The 18043-nt window shown below is 34.8% G+C and overlaps 1 protein-coding gene across 18 annotated transcripts in view; it reads left to right on the top strand.

Moving 5' to 3' along the window:
* Positions 1 to 18043, top strand: part of GRID2 (glutamate ionotropic receptor delta type subunit 2) — a 1506491-nt gene that overhangs the window by 953596 nt on the left and 534852 nt on the right. For 11 of the 18 annotated variants that reach the window (XM_024454024.2, XM_017008120.3, XM_011531893.3 and 8 more), the window contains one exon: positions 1335 to 1382. The exons of the other annotated variants lie outside the window; for them this stretch is intronic. In XM_024454024.2, the coding sequence (XP_024309792.1) occupies positions 1335 to 1382 (48 nt within the window). The remainder of the gene's footprint in view (positions 1 to 1334; positions 1383 to 18043) is intronic. 18 annotated transcript variants of the gene reach the window in all.

Consider the following 18043-nt stretch of genomic DNA (forward strand, 5'->3'; position numbering starts at 1 on the left):
AAACTGAAAATATATTTCTCTTATCTTCAAGAATTCTGTTAATATTAACCATTTATCAAAAAGAAGTATCATAAATAAAATATTCCAATGCATTTTGTATTTTTAATGTTAAAATGTCAAATACCTTCCTTTAATTTTGACAGCATTTTATGAATTATCTTTCTCATATAATATAATGAAAATATACTTTTTGAAAGATAGCATGATGTGTGAGTGCCCTACTTGGTAATATCTATTTATTATTTCCTGATTTCCTAATTTATTCCTACTTCAGCAACGCATAGGAATAAAATATAATTTTATTCACTGCTTATTGCTGAATAAAGGATTTACCACATAAAAATATTTTATTTTTATAGAATTATTACCTCTGGATATAAAATATGTATATATACATATACACACAATATGTGTGTGTATATATATATATATATATATACACACACACACACACACACACACACACAATACTGGTAATACTAATATACACAATACTGGTAATACTAATACAACACACAATACTGGTAATACTATAATCAATTGCAGACCATACATTAAAAAATTTTATTCTCATGGAAGCATGTAATTCTTGATTAAAAAGATATAGTTTTGTTGTGTTTGAATAATTAAGTTTTCAGCATTAATAAAAGAGCAGTGAATGTGCCTTAACTAACAAAAATAAATTGGATGGAAATAAAAGACAAACTTTTCACTTGCAATAAGGAAAAAAAATGACAATGATAAAAACTAGCAAAGATATTTAAGTTTGGGTGAAATAGAATAAAAAATTTTAGTGGACCATAATGTCAGAGAAGTAGTGTTACCTCTCCCAAAAAGCTAATGAAAATTACTGAAATCATTAAGAAAATTATATTGGAGGACAAACTCATGAAAGAATTAAAGTTATATCAATATTACTTTCATGTATATAATGACAGACACATGGAAAAAATGGAGGTGTTTTATATTATTTCAAAGACATGTTTTGAAAAAAAGACTCAGAGTTGTAAAGAGACAAATGTGGCTTTATGCATTACTCCTTTAGTGCATTATGATAAGATTTGAAAAGCAGCAGGATGGTGCTTATCTTGACCCAAAATATCCATAAGGTGCTAAATAGTTTGTTATTAGTTATGCAGTGCCATAACTAATATTAAATGACAGCTTTTAAAATAATCTGAACCTGAAGGATTGTCATTTAAAGCTATAATTAACCACTACAACTAATGCATGGATTTATTTATTGATCTATTCTTTCTATAAACAACATGAAAGTAATTAACAAACACAACTACTGCAAGATTCATTTATTATCCTCTCTTTTCCATAAACAGAATGAAAGAATCAGACCACAGGGCTCTACTGGGAAAATCTGGCCCCAGGTGAGGAATATTAATAAGGACTGATGTGCTGACTAGAGTACCACTGAGGCAGCGAAGTCAGGAAAATGAGTCTTCACAGAAAGGGAAAAAAGATTAAAGAAAAAAAAGTATTATAGAGATGCTTTGCCTATTTTTCCCTTTTGCTTTAAGTTGATCTTGGTGACATTCTCAGAGTGTAAATATTTGCTCAATTAATCCTGTGTGAATAGATGAAAAAAATGCATGATGATAGGACAAGTACCTAGGAGACAAGTTGGTTGGCCTTACAAGGATTGCCCTACAGCACCATGCAGAATTAAGATCCCAAACTGTGAAGGGATTTAACTTGTCACTAGAATATCATTTAATGGTATTGCTGTAAATACACAGCTCCATATCAATCATAGTTAGGCACTTACAATCCCGGAGTATCCAGTCTTTGAATAGTTAGTTTTCCAGAACCCAAAGAAATCAATATTCCTTTTCAAAATAGTCTCGACTGTGTTCATTACCTTGATTTTTTAAAATGATTTCACAGGTGCATATATATGTCAAATCTTACCAAATGATAGGCTTTTTACATACATGAAATTTATACTGTCAATAATTTAATAAAGAGATTTTCAAAGCCAAGTGCACAGCTAATTAAGTAAATAAATAAAATAGCATTGATCATCAGGATTTATATTTTTATTTTTATGCAAAGCCTTTGACTATTCAGTTATTTTTTAATATATTTTACCCCATATTTCACAAGAAATGTGAATGTAACGGTTACATGTAAAGTTCAAAAACTATGTTTTTTCAATTCATTTTATAAAGAAGGTTAGGCTAAATAGCCCTTTTAAACATACATATCATCATTCACCTTGGTTTTAAGTTGTTTTTCTTGACTATCTGAAGATGGCTATACTTAATATTGTCTAAGTGATAGGGGGCATGTGTTAAAAATATGTACATTTCTACTGCCTTTGCTATTAGTAAAGCACACTTAAATGAGTAAGAAGAGAGAGAATTTTTTAAACATAGCTTATTGCCCATGTGATATTAAAATTTGGTTTTCTCTCTTAGTTTTCATGGGAAGACTTAGGTAAATTAGTATTTTACGTAGGAGGTATGTACAAAAACTGTGTCCGCTATTAAATTATTCTACCTTGAATTGTGATTTTATTACATATAATGCATGCTTATTTTGGAAGTGTGTTATAAAAACCATTGATACTTTGCCCTACTGGAGAGGATGATTCTTACTAGCATTCTGATAAACTGTAAATCCATGGAGTTTATCACAAAAGCAATTTTACATTATTTTGGAAACAAAATTTCCTATATAGTTTAAATTATTTTTGATTCTATATGTTATCTTTATAAGAAAAAATAATAAAGTTTCTTAATGTCAAATTTTAATAATCAAAATACATCTATTAGGCACATTGCGTACATTTTTAAAAGCCAAGTAAACCCTGTAGTAAATATAAAAAAAAATATTAAAATAACAAGATAAATATTATATATTTATTTATTTATTTGTTAGAAGTTGGACACTTAAAAGGGTGACAGCCTTTGCATACGACTACATTAAAACAATTTAAGTTAATTTAAGTAAAGGAAAGAGGCATTCAAGCATCAACTGTTATTTATACTCAAATTATCTGACAGCTTTATGTTGTGACATTTGGTCTTTGCAAAACACTCAAAATATAAGTCATTGCTCTGTAACCTCACAGTCAGCTTTATATTATGGTAGTCATGAATGCCAGTTTGTACCCAACGTTCATAAATCCTACTGCCTTTTTCAACAGGCCAATCACAGGATGATCATAGGGTTTCTGATTCACTTATAGTGAATTTAGGTGAAATGGAATATAAACCAATTTCTCTGAAATCATCTAACTATAAAGTTGTGATAAAAGAGACATGGTGTGGCAAGAATTATACTGCAGAGATCTTTATTACATTCAATGGTTGACATCCTGGGCTGGTCCTAATTAAAACATTGGCCTGTAGAAGCCAAAAGTAACTTCCAAGGCCTAACAAGCACATCATTCTGTGGCCTATGGCATTCATTCTTGAGAGTAAGGAATAATCAGTAGTAGAATGGGCATCCTCTTCATCATAGTTCCCTGGGACTGAGGGTTAGATGTGCATGATATAGTATACCTATAATGAATCAACAAACATAGATCTTTCTCCAACTTTAGTTCAACTAAAAGTCACTTTTGACACATGTTAAAAAAAAACATCAATACTCAAGCTCGGTTCCCAGAGATTATAATTGAGGGCTTTTCGAAAGGAGCTCAAAAATCTGTGTTTTTAACAAGCAGTATCTGTAGTTCCACCACACTTTACGAAAGTGCTTTATAGGAAACTTGCAAAGTATAGGGAATTAGGAACTGTCAAAAGACATACAATGTGATCCTTGCACCTAAGTGGCTTACAGCCTCTTTGTGGGACAAGTCATGTACACAATCTAACTCAGTATTAGTGACAGGTTCTTACAAGTGCCACATTACAGGTTGTGAGTTCTAGATGAAATCCTATAATTAAGCACTCACTCAGGCTGGAATTGCCAGGGAAACCAGGAAATAATAGAGGAAAGGGTAAAGAAAATTTCAAGTGGAATGACCTGTATATACAGAATAGAGAGATGCGTGGGCCTGGCATATTTAAGAGGATAACTCTTGGATAGATGCTTGAATAAACTGATATAATAGATTGAACAATATATTATAAAGAGAGGAGTATATATTGTATTAACAGAGGAATTTGTATAGGAGTATGTATTCCTGTAGTGGAGGATTTTGAGAAACTCTAAAGATGTAGCTGACTAACCATCTAGCCGTCTATTTAATCTAGGGTTTGGCAAACTTTTTCTGTAAATATTTTAGGCTTTGTGGGCCATGTATGTCTCTTTTGCATATTCTTCCTTGTTTATGTTTTCTGTATATATGTATGTATGCATGTTACATATATATATATGTATTTTAATTTTTTAAATATGTGAAAGAATTCTTCACTCAAATACTGAACCAAAATAGGCTCAAGGGCCAAACCATAGTTTACTGACCCCTGATCTTATCCGTCCAGCTTCTGGCTTCTTCCACAAAGGGTTTAAAGAAACTTGGAGAAATAAAATATGTATATTATAAATATTAAATGTATAATAAAAAATTAGCAAGTAAAAAAAGTCAATACCTAATAAGGGAAAACTAACAAAAATATCAGTTACTATATTTGAGCTTAAGAATTTGGTTTCAGGCTTTCAGAAACCCAGTCAAAAATTTGACCAGTTACTTAGGTCTTATATATTAGGGCAATAAGACAAGCCAGTCTCCCTTCTTAGCATTCCTTTCTAAAGCAGTGCCTCACATAGGACTTCACTCTCTTCAACAGCTTCTGTAAACCAAATGCAAATAAGCCTGTTTTGAAATAATTTTTTGATGAAAGCTGAGAACGTAAACCATAAATGCCCAGGGAGGCAGTTATGAAGAATATTAAGGATTGTGGCCCAAATATGGAGTCTTCAGTTTCTAGGCTGATTCAAGAAGAAAACATAAAATATGAATTGGATATTTGTCAAATCATTATATACATATATTTTCCACTTTGATTTACAGGGAATTTTAAATCAATTGCTTCTTTTTGTCTAATTATATAAACTTACCTACTTCTTATGCAAAACTTGGAAAAGAAAAAGAAAAATCATTCGTAATCTTACTACTTTGAATAAAATTCCTGTTGATATTTTGATGATTTCCTCTTATTTTACATACGTTTTATAACTCTATAAATGTATTTTAATGTTATCATTTAACTTACGCAAATATTCCAATAACTCTTCATTTTTTGGCCTTTTCCATTTTTGCCCTTTTAAGTGTTGGAATAAATGCAATAAATAGATTTCTAAAAAAAATGAAATCGCTATACTAAAGTCTGTAGCATTCTAAAGTATTTAAATGTTATTTCTGTTTACTATTAAATTTTTTTTTCCGTTTTACTCTTTCACCAGAAGTTATGAAAGTGCCTATTTACAAAAATGTAACTCCTTGTTCCACTTATCACTACTAAGGAGTTACATTGCTGTAAACTTTTGATAACTATAGGAAAAAAATAGTGCCAGTTTCCATTTCTGTTATTACTAGTACCAAATAATTCATTTTTCTCTTTTATTTCTAATTATGCATATTTTTCTCTCATTTATATTTTAAAAGCCTAGTATTTTTAATCAATTTTTCGAGATCTTTCCATGCCAAGGATTTTAATCTTTTGTCATATTTTTTAATCATGTTTATCTAATGGATGATTTACTTTTTAGATTTATTTTGTTTTGACTTAGAAAAAGTAGTAATTTCAATACAGTCAAATCACTTTCCTTATGATTTCTTCTACTGACTTCTAAAGAATGAAGCCGTTACTCAGCAAGATATCAGACTCATACCATCTGCTTCCTCCATCCCCCATTGTGTGGTTTGAATATTTACAATTATCTTTTCAATCCATCTGAGATTTTTTTTTGTATGGCATTCTATAAAGAATTAAGTGGACATTTTTTCCAAAATAATTGAATAATTTTCTATATATGGAAAAATATATCCTTCTCATTGATTTATGATGCCTTAAATTATGTATTATATTTTAAGTATGCTTAAAATCTTAGTATATTATATTTGAATTAAATAGATGACTTGCTTTCATCTTTGTTTCACAATATAGTTCATTTGGCTTATAATTAGTGGATCATCTTGACAGAGTCTAGGTGACTGATGGTCTTATTTTTAATTTGCAGATTTTCATTTTCTTGTCATTCTTTAGGGGTTAGAGTGGGTAATTTGAAAAGACATGTCAGAAATAACTACTTAGTTAGAAACCTTTGTGAAAAGCCAAAAGTTTTATCCTTCGAAAGCAGGCTACTACTGGTCAGTGGCAATGACTCTACATCATTATAGAGAAATATGCTTATCTTAATTGCTATGAAATGGGAGCATAGAAGTCAACTGAAAGCAGTTTCAAGTCATTGAAATGAATTTGTTTGTTTTAGGGCAGTTCAGAAAAGAGTTGCATTTTGCATAGCTTGAAATTATCATCTGATCTCTGATGACCATTCTTGCTGAACTTGTCTTTTGCAATGCTATTAACACACAGGTTATATTCAGGCAGCTAATTGTAGGGCTTCTATGTTGAACTCAAGTTTAGTGCAGACTTTTTGTCCAGAAATTCAAAAACCTAGCAGTACTCATTGACACGTGCAAAGAATATGTTATTTTTGGCTTATTTATAACTTTGACCACATACAATATTGAAAGCAGTTTCTCTAATTATTCTTCATTAATGATTGCACTAAGAATCCAACAGGTAATTTATAAGCAAAGGAATGGTTTTGTCATTTCAAGGAAGATGACTTCTTTATTTTACTTAAATTATAGTATGAGTTTTTCCAGGTAAGGTCACAGCAAAATTACAGTTACCAAGGTGACAATAATTAGACCCCTTGAAGTTTTAAACAATGGCAAAATAATCTTAATTATTGTTTCAATGTAAGCTTTCCAGCAAAACAAGCTATTTGAGGATAGATTTTTAAACTTTAGACTGAAAATCTCTTGGGTATGTGAAATCCAAAGCACTTACACGAAGACATGGGAAACCTGGGAAAAATAAGCTCCATGGATGACTTTTGGTTTCTGTGTTCCTACAATTTCTCTTCTCCTGAGGACATAATTTCAGTGCCTAGGTTTAATCTCATTATTGGTCCTGAGTCCCCCACAAGGAGTTATGTTTGAGTTTTGAATGATATATATATATATATCATTTGAATTATATATATATATCATTTGAATGATATATATATATATATAAATATATATAATATATATTTATTTTTTGAGATGGAGTCCTGCTCTATTGCCAGGCTGGAGTGCAGTGGCACAATCTCAGCTCACTGCAACCTCTGCCTCCCAGATTCAAGTGATACTCTTGCCTCAGCCTCTCAAGTAACTGGGACTACAGGTGCCCGCCACCATGCCTGGCTAATTTTTGTATTTTTAGTAGAGACGGGGTTTCACCATTTTGGCCAGGATGGTCTCGATCTCTTGACCTCATGATCTGCCCACCTCAGCCTCCCAAAGTGCGGGGATTACAGGCATGAGCCACCGCGCCTGGCCTAATGTTATAATTTTTTTATAAAATTAAAATTGCATACGTAACTGGTAGTCTTTTCAGGATTCTATTTTGGTTTTTTTCCCTCATGAAACTATTTAAAGCTCATTTGTCAAATCAGGAACTGGAAAGATAAGGTGTACATTTACCTGCAGTTGAGACATAAAAAATCTGTTTTAAAACCAAAAAATGTTTTAAAATATTTATAACAATTGGAGGCAGGTGCTGTCTTTTACTTACAAGATTTAGGAAAGCTTCTCTCCATTTAATTCTTTACTTCCTAATCTCATCAATCTAACCAAGTTGTGGACATTCTGAAGAGCCACCTTATCAAATGAGTGGAAAATGATTAATTTAGAAACTATAGTAAATCCTTACTTAAGGTCATTGCTGGGTTCTTGGAAACCGCCACTTCAAAGGAAATTACATATAATAAAACCAACTTTCCCATAGGCTAATTGATATAAACAAGAGCTAAGTTCTTAGGGCATATTTCTGGTCAGAGAAACATTACCAAACTTCTAAATAAAGACCCAGAACAATTCTAACATGAAACATTGAAATAAATGTGACCTATGCATACTTTTAAGAAAGATAAATAAAAACAAGTAAGGTAATTATTTACTCAATTTTGGTGAATTAGTGAGTGACAGTGATTGTGGTGGTGAGTCCACTGAAGGAATAAAGGTTTACAAAGCGAAAATCTTAAGGAGCACCCCTTCCCACCATGCAGTTCAAAATCAAACAATGAAAAATATGGCAGACTAGAGGAGAGCTTTAGTACCCCATCATTTCTTGTTGCATTTGTAGGATTATTATCTCCTTTAAGAATTTTTATTTTACAATCATTTGTATTCATTCATTTATTTTCCAACCAGCTTATTCTAGTTCAGGGTTTTGGGTGGCTGGAGCCTATCCCTGCAGCTCAGGGAGCAAGGTGGGAACTGACTCTAATAGGACACTATTCCATCACAGGGCACACACACTCCTACACACTCACTCAGACGGGGATCATTCAGACATGTCAATTCATGTAATGTGCACATCTTTGGGATGTGGAAGGAAACGAATATTCAGAGAAAACCCATGAGAGAAGTACATGTACACTCCAAACAGACAGTGGCTCTGGCCAGAAATTATTTTTTTTCTCATCAACATTATAATAAAACAACATTGAACAAAACAATTTTATTCGAGGACCTACTGTATACTAAACTATATTTCATAGAAGGCTAATTAAAATGTAGTCTGTAACACTGTTTGCTAAAGGAGAGAAAAACAGCACTATAATCCCTAGACCTACTCTATAAGCCACCTGTGTTGTTTTATATATTCAGAACATAACTACTATTATTTTTACACACACACACATCCACCTGTTCACCACTCCCCTCCCACACACACATACACACACAGCCCAAAAGGTTGAGTGTATGACCCAAGCTAGACCAGCCAATCATGGCATCCCACACGAACCCCATCAATTGGCCCAGTAATGAACATGTCACTTGTATTTTTAGTAGAGACGGGGTTTCACCACATTGACCAGGCTGGTCTCGAACTCCTGACCTCAGGTGATCCACCCACCTCAGCCTCCCAAAGTGCTGGGATTACAGGTGTATTATCAACTGGAATCCTTTTCCAGGGTTTTTATAAGGGAAACTTGTTAAAAGGGGATCTCTTTCCTCTTGAGTCTAGGCTTTATGAATGAAAGCCCAGAAGTACGTGTAGTGTTGGGTTTTGGAGATAACCAGACTGGTAGAATAAAGTCAATGAGAAGGTGAGTGGCATAGAAAGATTACAAATACTGTTCGAATTCTTGGACCGTGTACTCATCACGTAATTTCTCATTTCTCACCCCTCTCCCACCCTCCCACCCTTCTGATCTCCAGTGTCTATTATTCCACACTCTATTTCCATGTATACATGTTATTTAGTGTCCACTTGTGAGAACATGTGGTATCTGACATTCTGCTTCTGAGCTGTTTCACTTATGATAATGGCTTCCAGTTTCATCCATGTTGCTGCAACAATCATGATTTTATTCTTTTTATGGGTGGATAGTGTTCCATTGAATAGTACACACATTTCTTTTTTTTTTTTAATTTTATTATTTTTTTTATTATTATACTTTAAGTTTTAGGGTACATGTGCACATTGTGCAGGTTAGTTACATATGTATACATGTGCCATGCTGGTGCGCTGCACCCACTAACTCTACGCTGGGCTGGGCTGGGAAAGCCTGCACTCAAGTCCAATGATGGGCACAAGTGCTGGCCACAATGGGGATCAGAGGACAGTCCTCGGGCCTCTGGAGAAATGCCCCAGCAGGGGGTGGAGCAACCACTGCTGTGTCAAAGACCCAGCATGGAGAAAGAGGTGCAGCCTGGTTTCCACAGCCTAGCAAGTGATATTGGGACCTGATGCACTGTCATACTGCCAACCTGGCAGGGCTTTCTCCCGCCACCCAAAGCTAGTGCTAAGTCAGAATACTTAGCTGAGTCACACACAATTTGCCTTCAGACCACGTAACTGCCCAAGGTCCACATTCGCCACCCGGGTCAAAACCACACCTCTCAGGCTAAAACCCTCTCAGTCCAGTCCCACAAAGGGGAAGCACACAACTTGAGGGCCCATGCTGGAGCCCATCCCACAGTCACCTCTCAGTTCTGGCTTTGGGAGTTCCTCCCTAATTCAAGACAAGATCACAAAACCCAGCCCAAGACACTCTGAAGCAGTGACTGTCATTCCTGCTAGCTGCTTAGGTTCCCATACAGCCCTCTCTGAGCTAGGATTGGTGTGGCACCCAGGTGTGAGATCCTTCCTAGTGTCATTCCTGCTCCGTCTCTCTGCTACTCCCCAAGTCAGATCTGGGGTGTGGTAGGGTCAGGACGCTCCCCTGCGGCCTGGATTGCCTGGCTATCTGGTGGGAATGTGTATTGCAGAGACACTCACCTGCTCTCACACACTAGGAATTTACTCACAATTTTCTGCTGGATCTCACCACAAAGGATTCTGCCCATTTTCTTTTTTCTGTTATCCAAAATTTTCTTTTGCTTTAATGTTGAACTCCTGTGTTCCTTCTTGGATAAAAGTTCACAGTATCAATCTCTACACACTATTTTGCTGTTTCCAATTGGGTGAGGGGTGCTAACAAAGCTTCCATTCCACCATCTGGGGAAAAACACTCAAGAAAGAGAAATACCTCTGTCTTCATTGTGCACTTGTGGAGAGAGAGAGAATGAGCTTTTTGGTCTCATCTTATAGGGACACCAATCCTGTTGATCGGAAACCCACCTCATGACTTCATTTAACCTTTATCACCTCCTCATAGGCCCCATCTCCAAATATATTTGGGGTTAGAGCTTCAACATATGAATTTTTGAGGTGGACACAAACATTCAGTCCATAACAAAAACTATAGGGTAAGGACTCTGTTAGGATAAATTCAAGCCTTTATAGGACTACATCATTAGGTCAAATGGGGCCTCCCACAATGATTTTCATGAAATAAAAACAGATTTAAAGAAAATGTAGATTTCATAATGTCTGCCACCTCTTACATGTTACATTTTACCTAACTCAGGCTAGAGGGATCACAGAAGATATAATTATATAAATGAATATATAGAATAACTGTGGGTCAAAGATTTATTAAATTATAACCACATATCTAAACTGACTGATAGCAGGTATCTTGTCTCGAAAAATATAAAAGCACTGAGCTAAAGCACATCTATCTTCTCGGAGAGCTGAATTAGGATAGGAAGAAATAAATGCTTGTTGTATGATTCTGGTAGCCCACGGCCAATTATGTTAGATTGATGGAGAACTGAGTGAACGAGTCTCCCTTTCCTGAGCCTATTTTTAAATGATGGAGAGAAATACAAGTTTTATGACTGGACATCATAAAATTATGATAATGACTGAATCTATTTCCTGAAACCATATGTCTTACAGATATGTAATTTTGAAATACAAAAAATTTTAACATGTCAGTATCTTTTAATTCAGGGTCACATCCAGGCATATTTCAGGAGAATTTTATTAAATGCTAGGAAGACTAGAATATCCATGTCTGGAATAAAATTATAGTCAGTTTAATGCAGTGATTCTTAATCTTTTTGCACATTAAAATCACCTGGGAAGCTGTTAAAAAATGCCAATGTCTGTTTCCCACCCCAAATTAATAAAATCAGAGTCTAGAAATAGGATCAGGCATTTTTAAAAAAAGTTTTTGGTTAATTTTATTTTACAGAAAATCACTGTCCTAATGTGGAGAAGCAATTAAGTCATTGTCTAAGGCAGCAAATAGTTTAATTCCTTGGTCTAAAATTAGAAGGTCCAGCCTGTGTAGACCAACATATTCTTGTCAGCCAACTTCATATGAGGTGCAAAGCTCACTGAAGTGTCAAGACAAATCAGTAGTCAAAAGGAATCAAACATTACTGAGTGGCAACTGAAAATCTCAACCCACATTTGGAATGGTCCTAGAGAAGTGTTATTTCCTGGAACTAAATGGAGATTGGAGACATTCAGTGTGGCTTTCTGTTTGTAAAATCCATTGAGGGGATAATTCTTACTAATTAGCTCCCTTTGGAAAAGTAATTGGGAGATTTAGTCATAAGCAGCAAACACAGGAAATTCACTGCAACTTAGAACCTGAACTTTAATCAAATATCCCTTCAGGGACTTGAGTCTTTATAAAAGAATATCCTGTTTTTTCCTGGACACTAGGCAATGGAAAAGAGCATCACATCCTAGGATGCCTTTTGGTGCACTACCAAATAAGGAGTAAAATTTGTGGTGACCATTTGAAATACTTTCTTTACCTATTTGCATATGATTTCTATAATCCTTTAGGAATAACTTTGCCATAATCATCTCCTGTTAAATACTTACAATAAGGCAAAGACATAGGGATGCTGAAGTGTTCAGTTTTTTCCAGTAAGTAAAGGGAACCATTAAAATTTTCTGAGCAAGTAACTTACATGCATAGAGAAGTTAAGGAAGTTGACTTTAGAAAGATATAGTTGAAGAAGGAGAAAAAATAGGCAAAGAGATCAGCTATAAAATCATCATAGTAACTATACCAAAGCAGATAGGACTTCAATATAATCTCTCTCTCTCACACACACATACACACACACACACACACACACACACACACACACACACACACACGAGGTTGCAGGATTTTTTAAATACAAATGTAAAAGGGTGGCAAATGAAAAAGTTTAAGTTGTAGCAATAAGATGCAATGCCGATTACACTCTAAAATAGATAAAATTCTAAAATGAAAAATCATCAAAGGAGGATATAGTAACTGCTTATACTATTCTCAAATGTCCTTACATCAAGAACATAAGTCTGCCAAAGGTTAGAGACATTTTGGAGAAGACTTCTCTGTAAAAGCTCTTAATGTGTTACGAGTCTTACTGTTACAGCACATCATCCTATCCTACCAAGGAGAGCTGGAGAAGAATTCAGCCTCACCTCGACCGAGAGAGGATAACATAATATGTATTTTCTTCTTCTTGTTTTTGTTTTTGTTTTGTTTTGTTTTTTTTTGAGGTGGAGTCTCATTCTACTGCCCAGGCTGGAGTGCAGTGGCACAATTTCGGCTCACTGCAACCTCTGTCTCCCAGATTCAAGTGATTCTCCTGCCTCAGCCTCCTGAGTAGCTGGAATTACAGATGCCCATCACCATGCCCAGCTAATTTTTGTATGTTTAGTAGAGACAGGGTTTTACCATGTTGGCCAGGCTGGTCTCAAACTCCTGACCTCAGGTGATCCACCCACTTCAGCCTCTCAAAGTGCTGGGATTACAGGCGTGAGCCACCGTGCCCGGCCCATAATATGTATTTTCTATAGGTTGGAGGACTCAGAAGTGTAGTGACTGATTTTTTCATACCTGGAAAATTTATGCATGATTGACTAAGTGCTTTTATAGCTAATTAAAGGAAAGATTGAGGCTACATTATATGATTTGAACTCGCAGTGTTTATGTGGAAATTATATATGTGTCCCATGGACCAGATATAAGCCATTTAGAAGACAGAATATCTCTTGTCTGGGTCAACCTGGTCCCATTCTGAAGCACGTAGACATATCTCAGTAGAGAGAATCTGAAGGTCCTGATAGAATGCCAGGGGTTCAGGAAGAAGCTAGCAAACTGGTAGAATAAATATGAACTCTGTGTAATGAGAACATCCATAAAAATGTGTGCAATGCTGGGAGGTGGGGGAATGTCATGGTCTCCAGAGAACGCATGAAAGTTGTAAATCTAGGACCAGGAACAATGAAGGGGTTTTCCTCTTCTGCCTTTCTGTGCTCCAAACCTGAGGGAGCCAGCAATCCCGGTTAGGAAGCTGAGGGAGCAGAAATCATAGTCATGGCCTGATAATGAGAGAAAAAGTCAACTATATTTTCCCAGCTGTAGATTTCCCACCTGCAAAAGGCCCAGATTAGAGGAGGGTAGAAGCCTCAATATCTAACCAGGGCCAGAGTTTGAATTTTCACTAAGGTTAGAGGTTTTTAAAATTGTTGAATTTTAAGAATGTGATCATAAGTCACTCTATTGCTTAAAAATACACAGAAAGGTCATAGGACCTGTCTAAATTTTTTGAAAAGTAAGGAAAAATTAACCCAGCAGAAAAAATTTGAAAGTACTCTGAGATGCAAAAAATATGATTATTTTTATTGTACTTTATGAATGTTGCTTATGCAATCTAACATTAACAAAGCTAAAAGTCAAGAATTATAAACTACTAAGAAATACACAGATGAATAATTACATTTTATGTCTTTGTAGCATTTTATAATTTTACATGTATTCTCTTATTTGATCCTAAATATTCTGAAGATAAAATAGAAATAATTTTCTTCATTTTATAGAAGAATAACCTGAAGATTAAGGGTAATGAGTGACCTATTATATGTGTTGAAGTAGGTTTTAAGTTAGGACCAGAATCCAGATGACTATCTATAAATCTTACCCAAGGGCACAGCTCCTTAGGTAAGAAGTAGCCTTTGCAATTTTCCTGAAAGCTGTTTTCATTAATTCATTCAGTAAAAATTATTGACCTTCTACCATGCCTCAGGCATTGATAGGAATTCATTAGGGAAGAAATCAGAGAATCCCACTTCTTGCATCGAACTTTCATTCTAATACAGAAAGGCAGGCAATAAACAAACAGAACAAATAAAAGGATATGTCAGGTGGCAAACTTTGTGAAAATATAAATATGGCATGTTAAGACAGACAACAAGACAGAGACTATTAGGAACCAGAGCTGCTGTATGTTATGTAGGCCATACTAGAGCTGGGCTGAGCAGAAGGGCCAGAGGTGGGTGCACTTTCAAAAAGCAAAGAGGCTATTGCAGCTGGAGCAGTGAGCAAAGAAATGTGCTAGGTAGGAGATGATGCTCTAGCGCAAGGGAGTGCATGGTCTGAGAAGGAGGTCATATAGGGCCTTCTAAGATCTTCCAAAGACTTGCAACTATGAACTATTCACCGTGAATGCTATGTGAAGCCATTCACGTGCTTTCACCAGAGGGGTGGTTTTGCCTGGCTGGTTTTGATTCTGTTTTTTAAGATAATTCTAGCTGATATGTAAGAATAGATGCCAGCAAGCCATGGCAGGAGTGAGAAGACTGGTGTGGAGACTACTGTAATAATGGTCCAGCAAGAGCTAGGGTGGCAGTCGACATGCAAAGGCATGTTTTCTACTTTTTTAACTTTTTATTCTGCAGGTGGTCCTTCGCTGGTCTCATACTGCATTTCCTTAGGTCACATTGGTGCAATCTGTAATAAAAGATGCCTCAATGACAAAATTGTTTGCTACATGGAGGGATTCCTCACTCCCATGTCTGGAAATGAAATCTTGCAGGTCATTACCAGTTAAGATAACCCTTGACCATCCTTTGTAGTTCACTCTGCCTTTGCACCATCATCCTGTCAGCAGATTTCTCTATCACTGAATGCTATTTATTTTCTTTATAGCACTCATTATAAATTGTAATTGTACATTTATATATGTATTTATGCAGTTATTGTTCATTTTTCTCACTAGACTCTATGCCTGCAGAAGGCAGGATCTTTCTCTATTTTATTTCTATTTATGGAATGCCTAGTCTACAATTTGACACAAAGTAGTTAATAAAAATTACATATGAATGAATAGAAATAGTTTGACTTTTACTTTACTTCTAAGGTATCCCAGATCTCTTTCTCTTATCTCTATCTAAATGAAAAAGCTAAGGAAAATATCTGAATGATTTCATTTTTAAAAAGAAAAATTATTTAATTGAGGAAGAAAGAGAATACCCTCCCCTCATTTTTCAACTACATTGATTATATTTTTGTGGTAGTCAGAATAATATCCCCCCCCCCAAAAAATATCCATGCCCCAATCCTCCAAACCTATGCATATGTTACATTCCTGAGGAATGTAATGGGGAAAGAGGAATTATATGGGAAAGAGGAATTAAAGGCTATAATTATCTGGCTTTAAAATGAGGGATTGAGGATTATCTGGGTAAGGCCAGAGTGATAACATGGGACCTAAAAGGGAAAAAGGGGAGACAGAAGGGAGATCAGAGGGATGTGCCCTAAGAAAGACAGGCCCTGCCATTGCTGAATTTGAAGATGGAGGGATTGGGCCATGAGTGAAGAAATGTGGATGCCTTTACAAGGTGGCAATACCTCTCAGTTTAAAGCTAGCAAGATAACAAAAACCTCAGAGAACTGCAAGGAACTGAATTCTACCAACAATTGCAATTATCAAAAGATAAATTTTCCTTTTCATTCCCAAAGAATGTAGCTGTGCAGACACCTTGATTTTAGCCTGGTGAGACACATTTGGGACTCACTTAGTATTCATTTAGCTATTTCACTTTTTATAATGCAGAATCTGCCGATATTATAATGCAAATTAAGATCTTTATGATTAGCATCTTTGAAAAAATACTTTTTCTTTTTTTGTTTTTAAACTTCATATATTTTTGTAACTATTTTGAAACATAATAGCTGATGTTATCGGAATATATTTGCACCTGAAAACTGTTTCCTCATATTTTTATCATAATATTAATATTCTTAAAATCCTGCAGTGGCATTGATAGTAGCCAATAAAATCAAGATTTAAATTTTAAAAATGTTCTAGACACAGTTAAATCTTAATTATGCCATTTGCTTAACAAGGCACTTTGTAACACCTTCGGTTACACCAAAGGCACTTCGGGGTTTTATTGTTGTATTATTGTTATTACTTTACACTTTCTGTCCTACAATTATAACTGAAAGCTACGAGACTGGATTTCAGGAAATGAGAAAAGTTGAAAAGCAATTTTACTGTAACTTCTCAGAAGAATTACTAGCAGATTTAAGAAAAAAGAAGTAAATAATCACTACCAAAATTAGGTAATGGTCTCATACTGCATGTGGGTAATTCATGAATTTCATTTCATATCACTTCTCATTTCTACAAGGTTTTAGGTACAATATGAAAAATGCTCATAGACACTTAACATTTGCCCGAGTGACAGAGACTATATCTTCTTGTTTCTTTCTTCCATGTACCAGTAGGAACTAAGAAACTTTGAAGCATATTCAAAGAATTCTGTTTCTTTGGTAGGAAGGCTGGCTGTGCATAAAGGCTGGCTCCTGCTGCATGGTTAGAATCTTGAGATATAATTTAGCTTTTCAGAAAAAGACATCATGTACGTGTCACAAAGTCTAGTCTCTGAATTTTTTTTGTTTCTTATTTGCTGAAAAATACCTATTCTACTTCCTGAAGCAAGTTCATATATTTAAAAATATAACAGCTTTATTGAGTTATAAATCAAATACCATAAAGTTTATGCTTTTAACATGTAAAATTCAGTGCTTTAAATATATCCACAAAGTTATTCAACCCTCAGGGCTATCTATTTTAAGGATATTTTCATCACTCTAAGAAGAAACTGTACATCCAATAGTAGTCACCCCCGACTTCCCCCTTTTCTCAGCCTCTGACAACCATTAATCTACTTTATCTTTCTATGAATTTGCCTATTCTAGACATTTCACATAAAGGGAAACATATGATATGTGATCTTTGTAACTGGCTTCATTCACTTACTATTATATTTTTAAGATTTACCACTGTTGTAGCTTGAACTGATACTTCTATTCCTTTGCATTGATAAATAATATTCCATTGTCTAGGTGTACCATATTTTATTTATCCATTGATTAATTAATAAACATTTCAGTTGTTTCCGCTTTTCCTCCATTATGAATAATGCTGTTATGAACTTTGTGAGCAAGATTTTATGAGGACATAATTTTTTTCATTTCTGTTGGATATATACATATATATATATATATATACCTAGGAATAGAAATGATCCTTCCTTTGGTAACTCTATGTTTACCACTTTCAGGAACTACCAAGTTAGTTTCCAAAGTGACCATACTGTTTAGTGTCTCCATTGGCAATATACGAGGGTTCAATTTCTCCACATCTTCACCACCACTTATTTCA

The sequence above is a fragment of the Homo sapiens genome, chromosome 4 (assembly GCF_000001405.40).
Source record: "Homo sapiens chromosome 4, GRCh38.p14 Primary Assembly".
Lineage (NCBI taxonomy): Eukaryota > Metazoa > Chordata > Mammalia > Primates > Hominidae > Homo > Homo sapiens.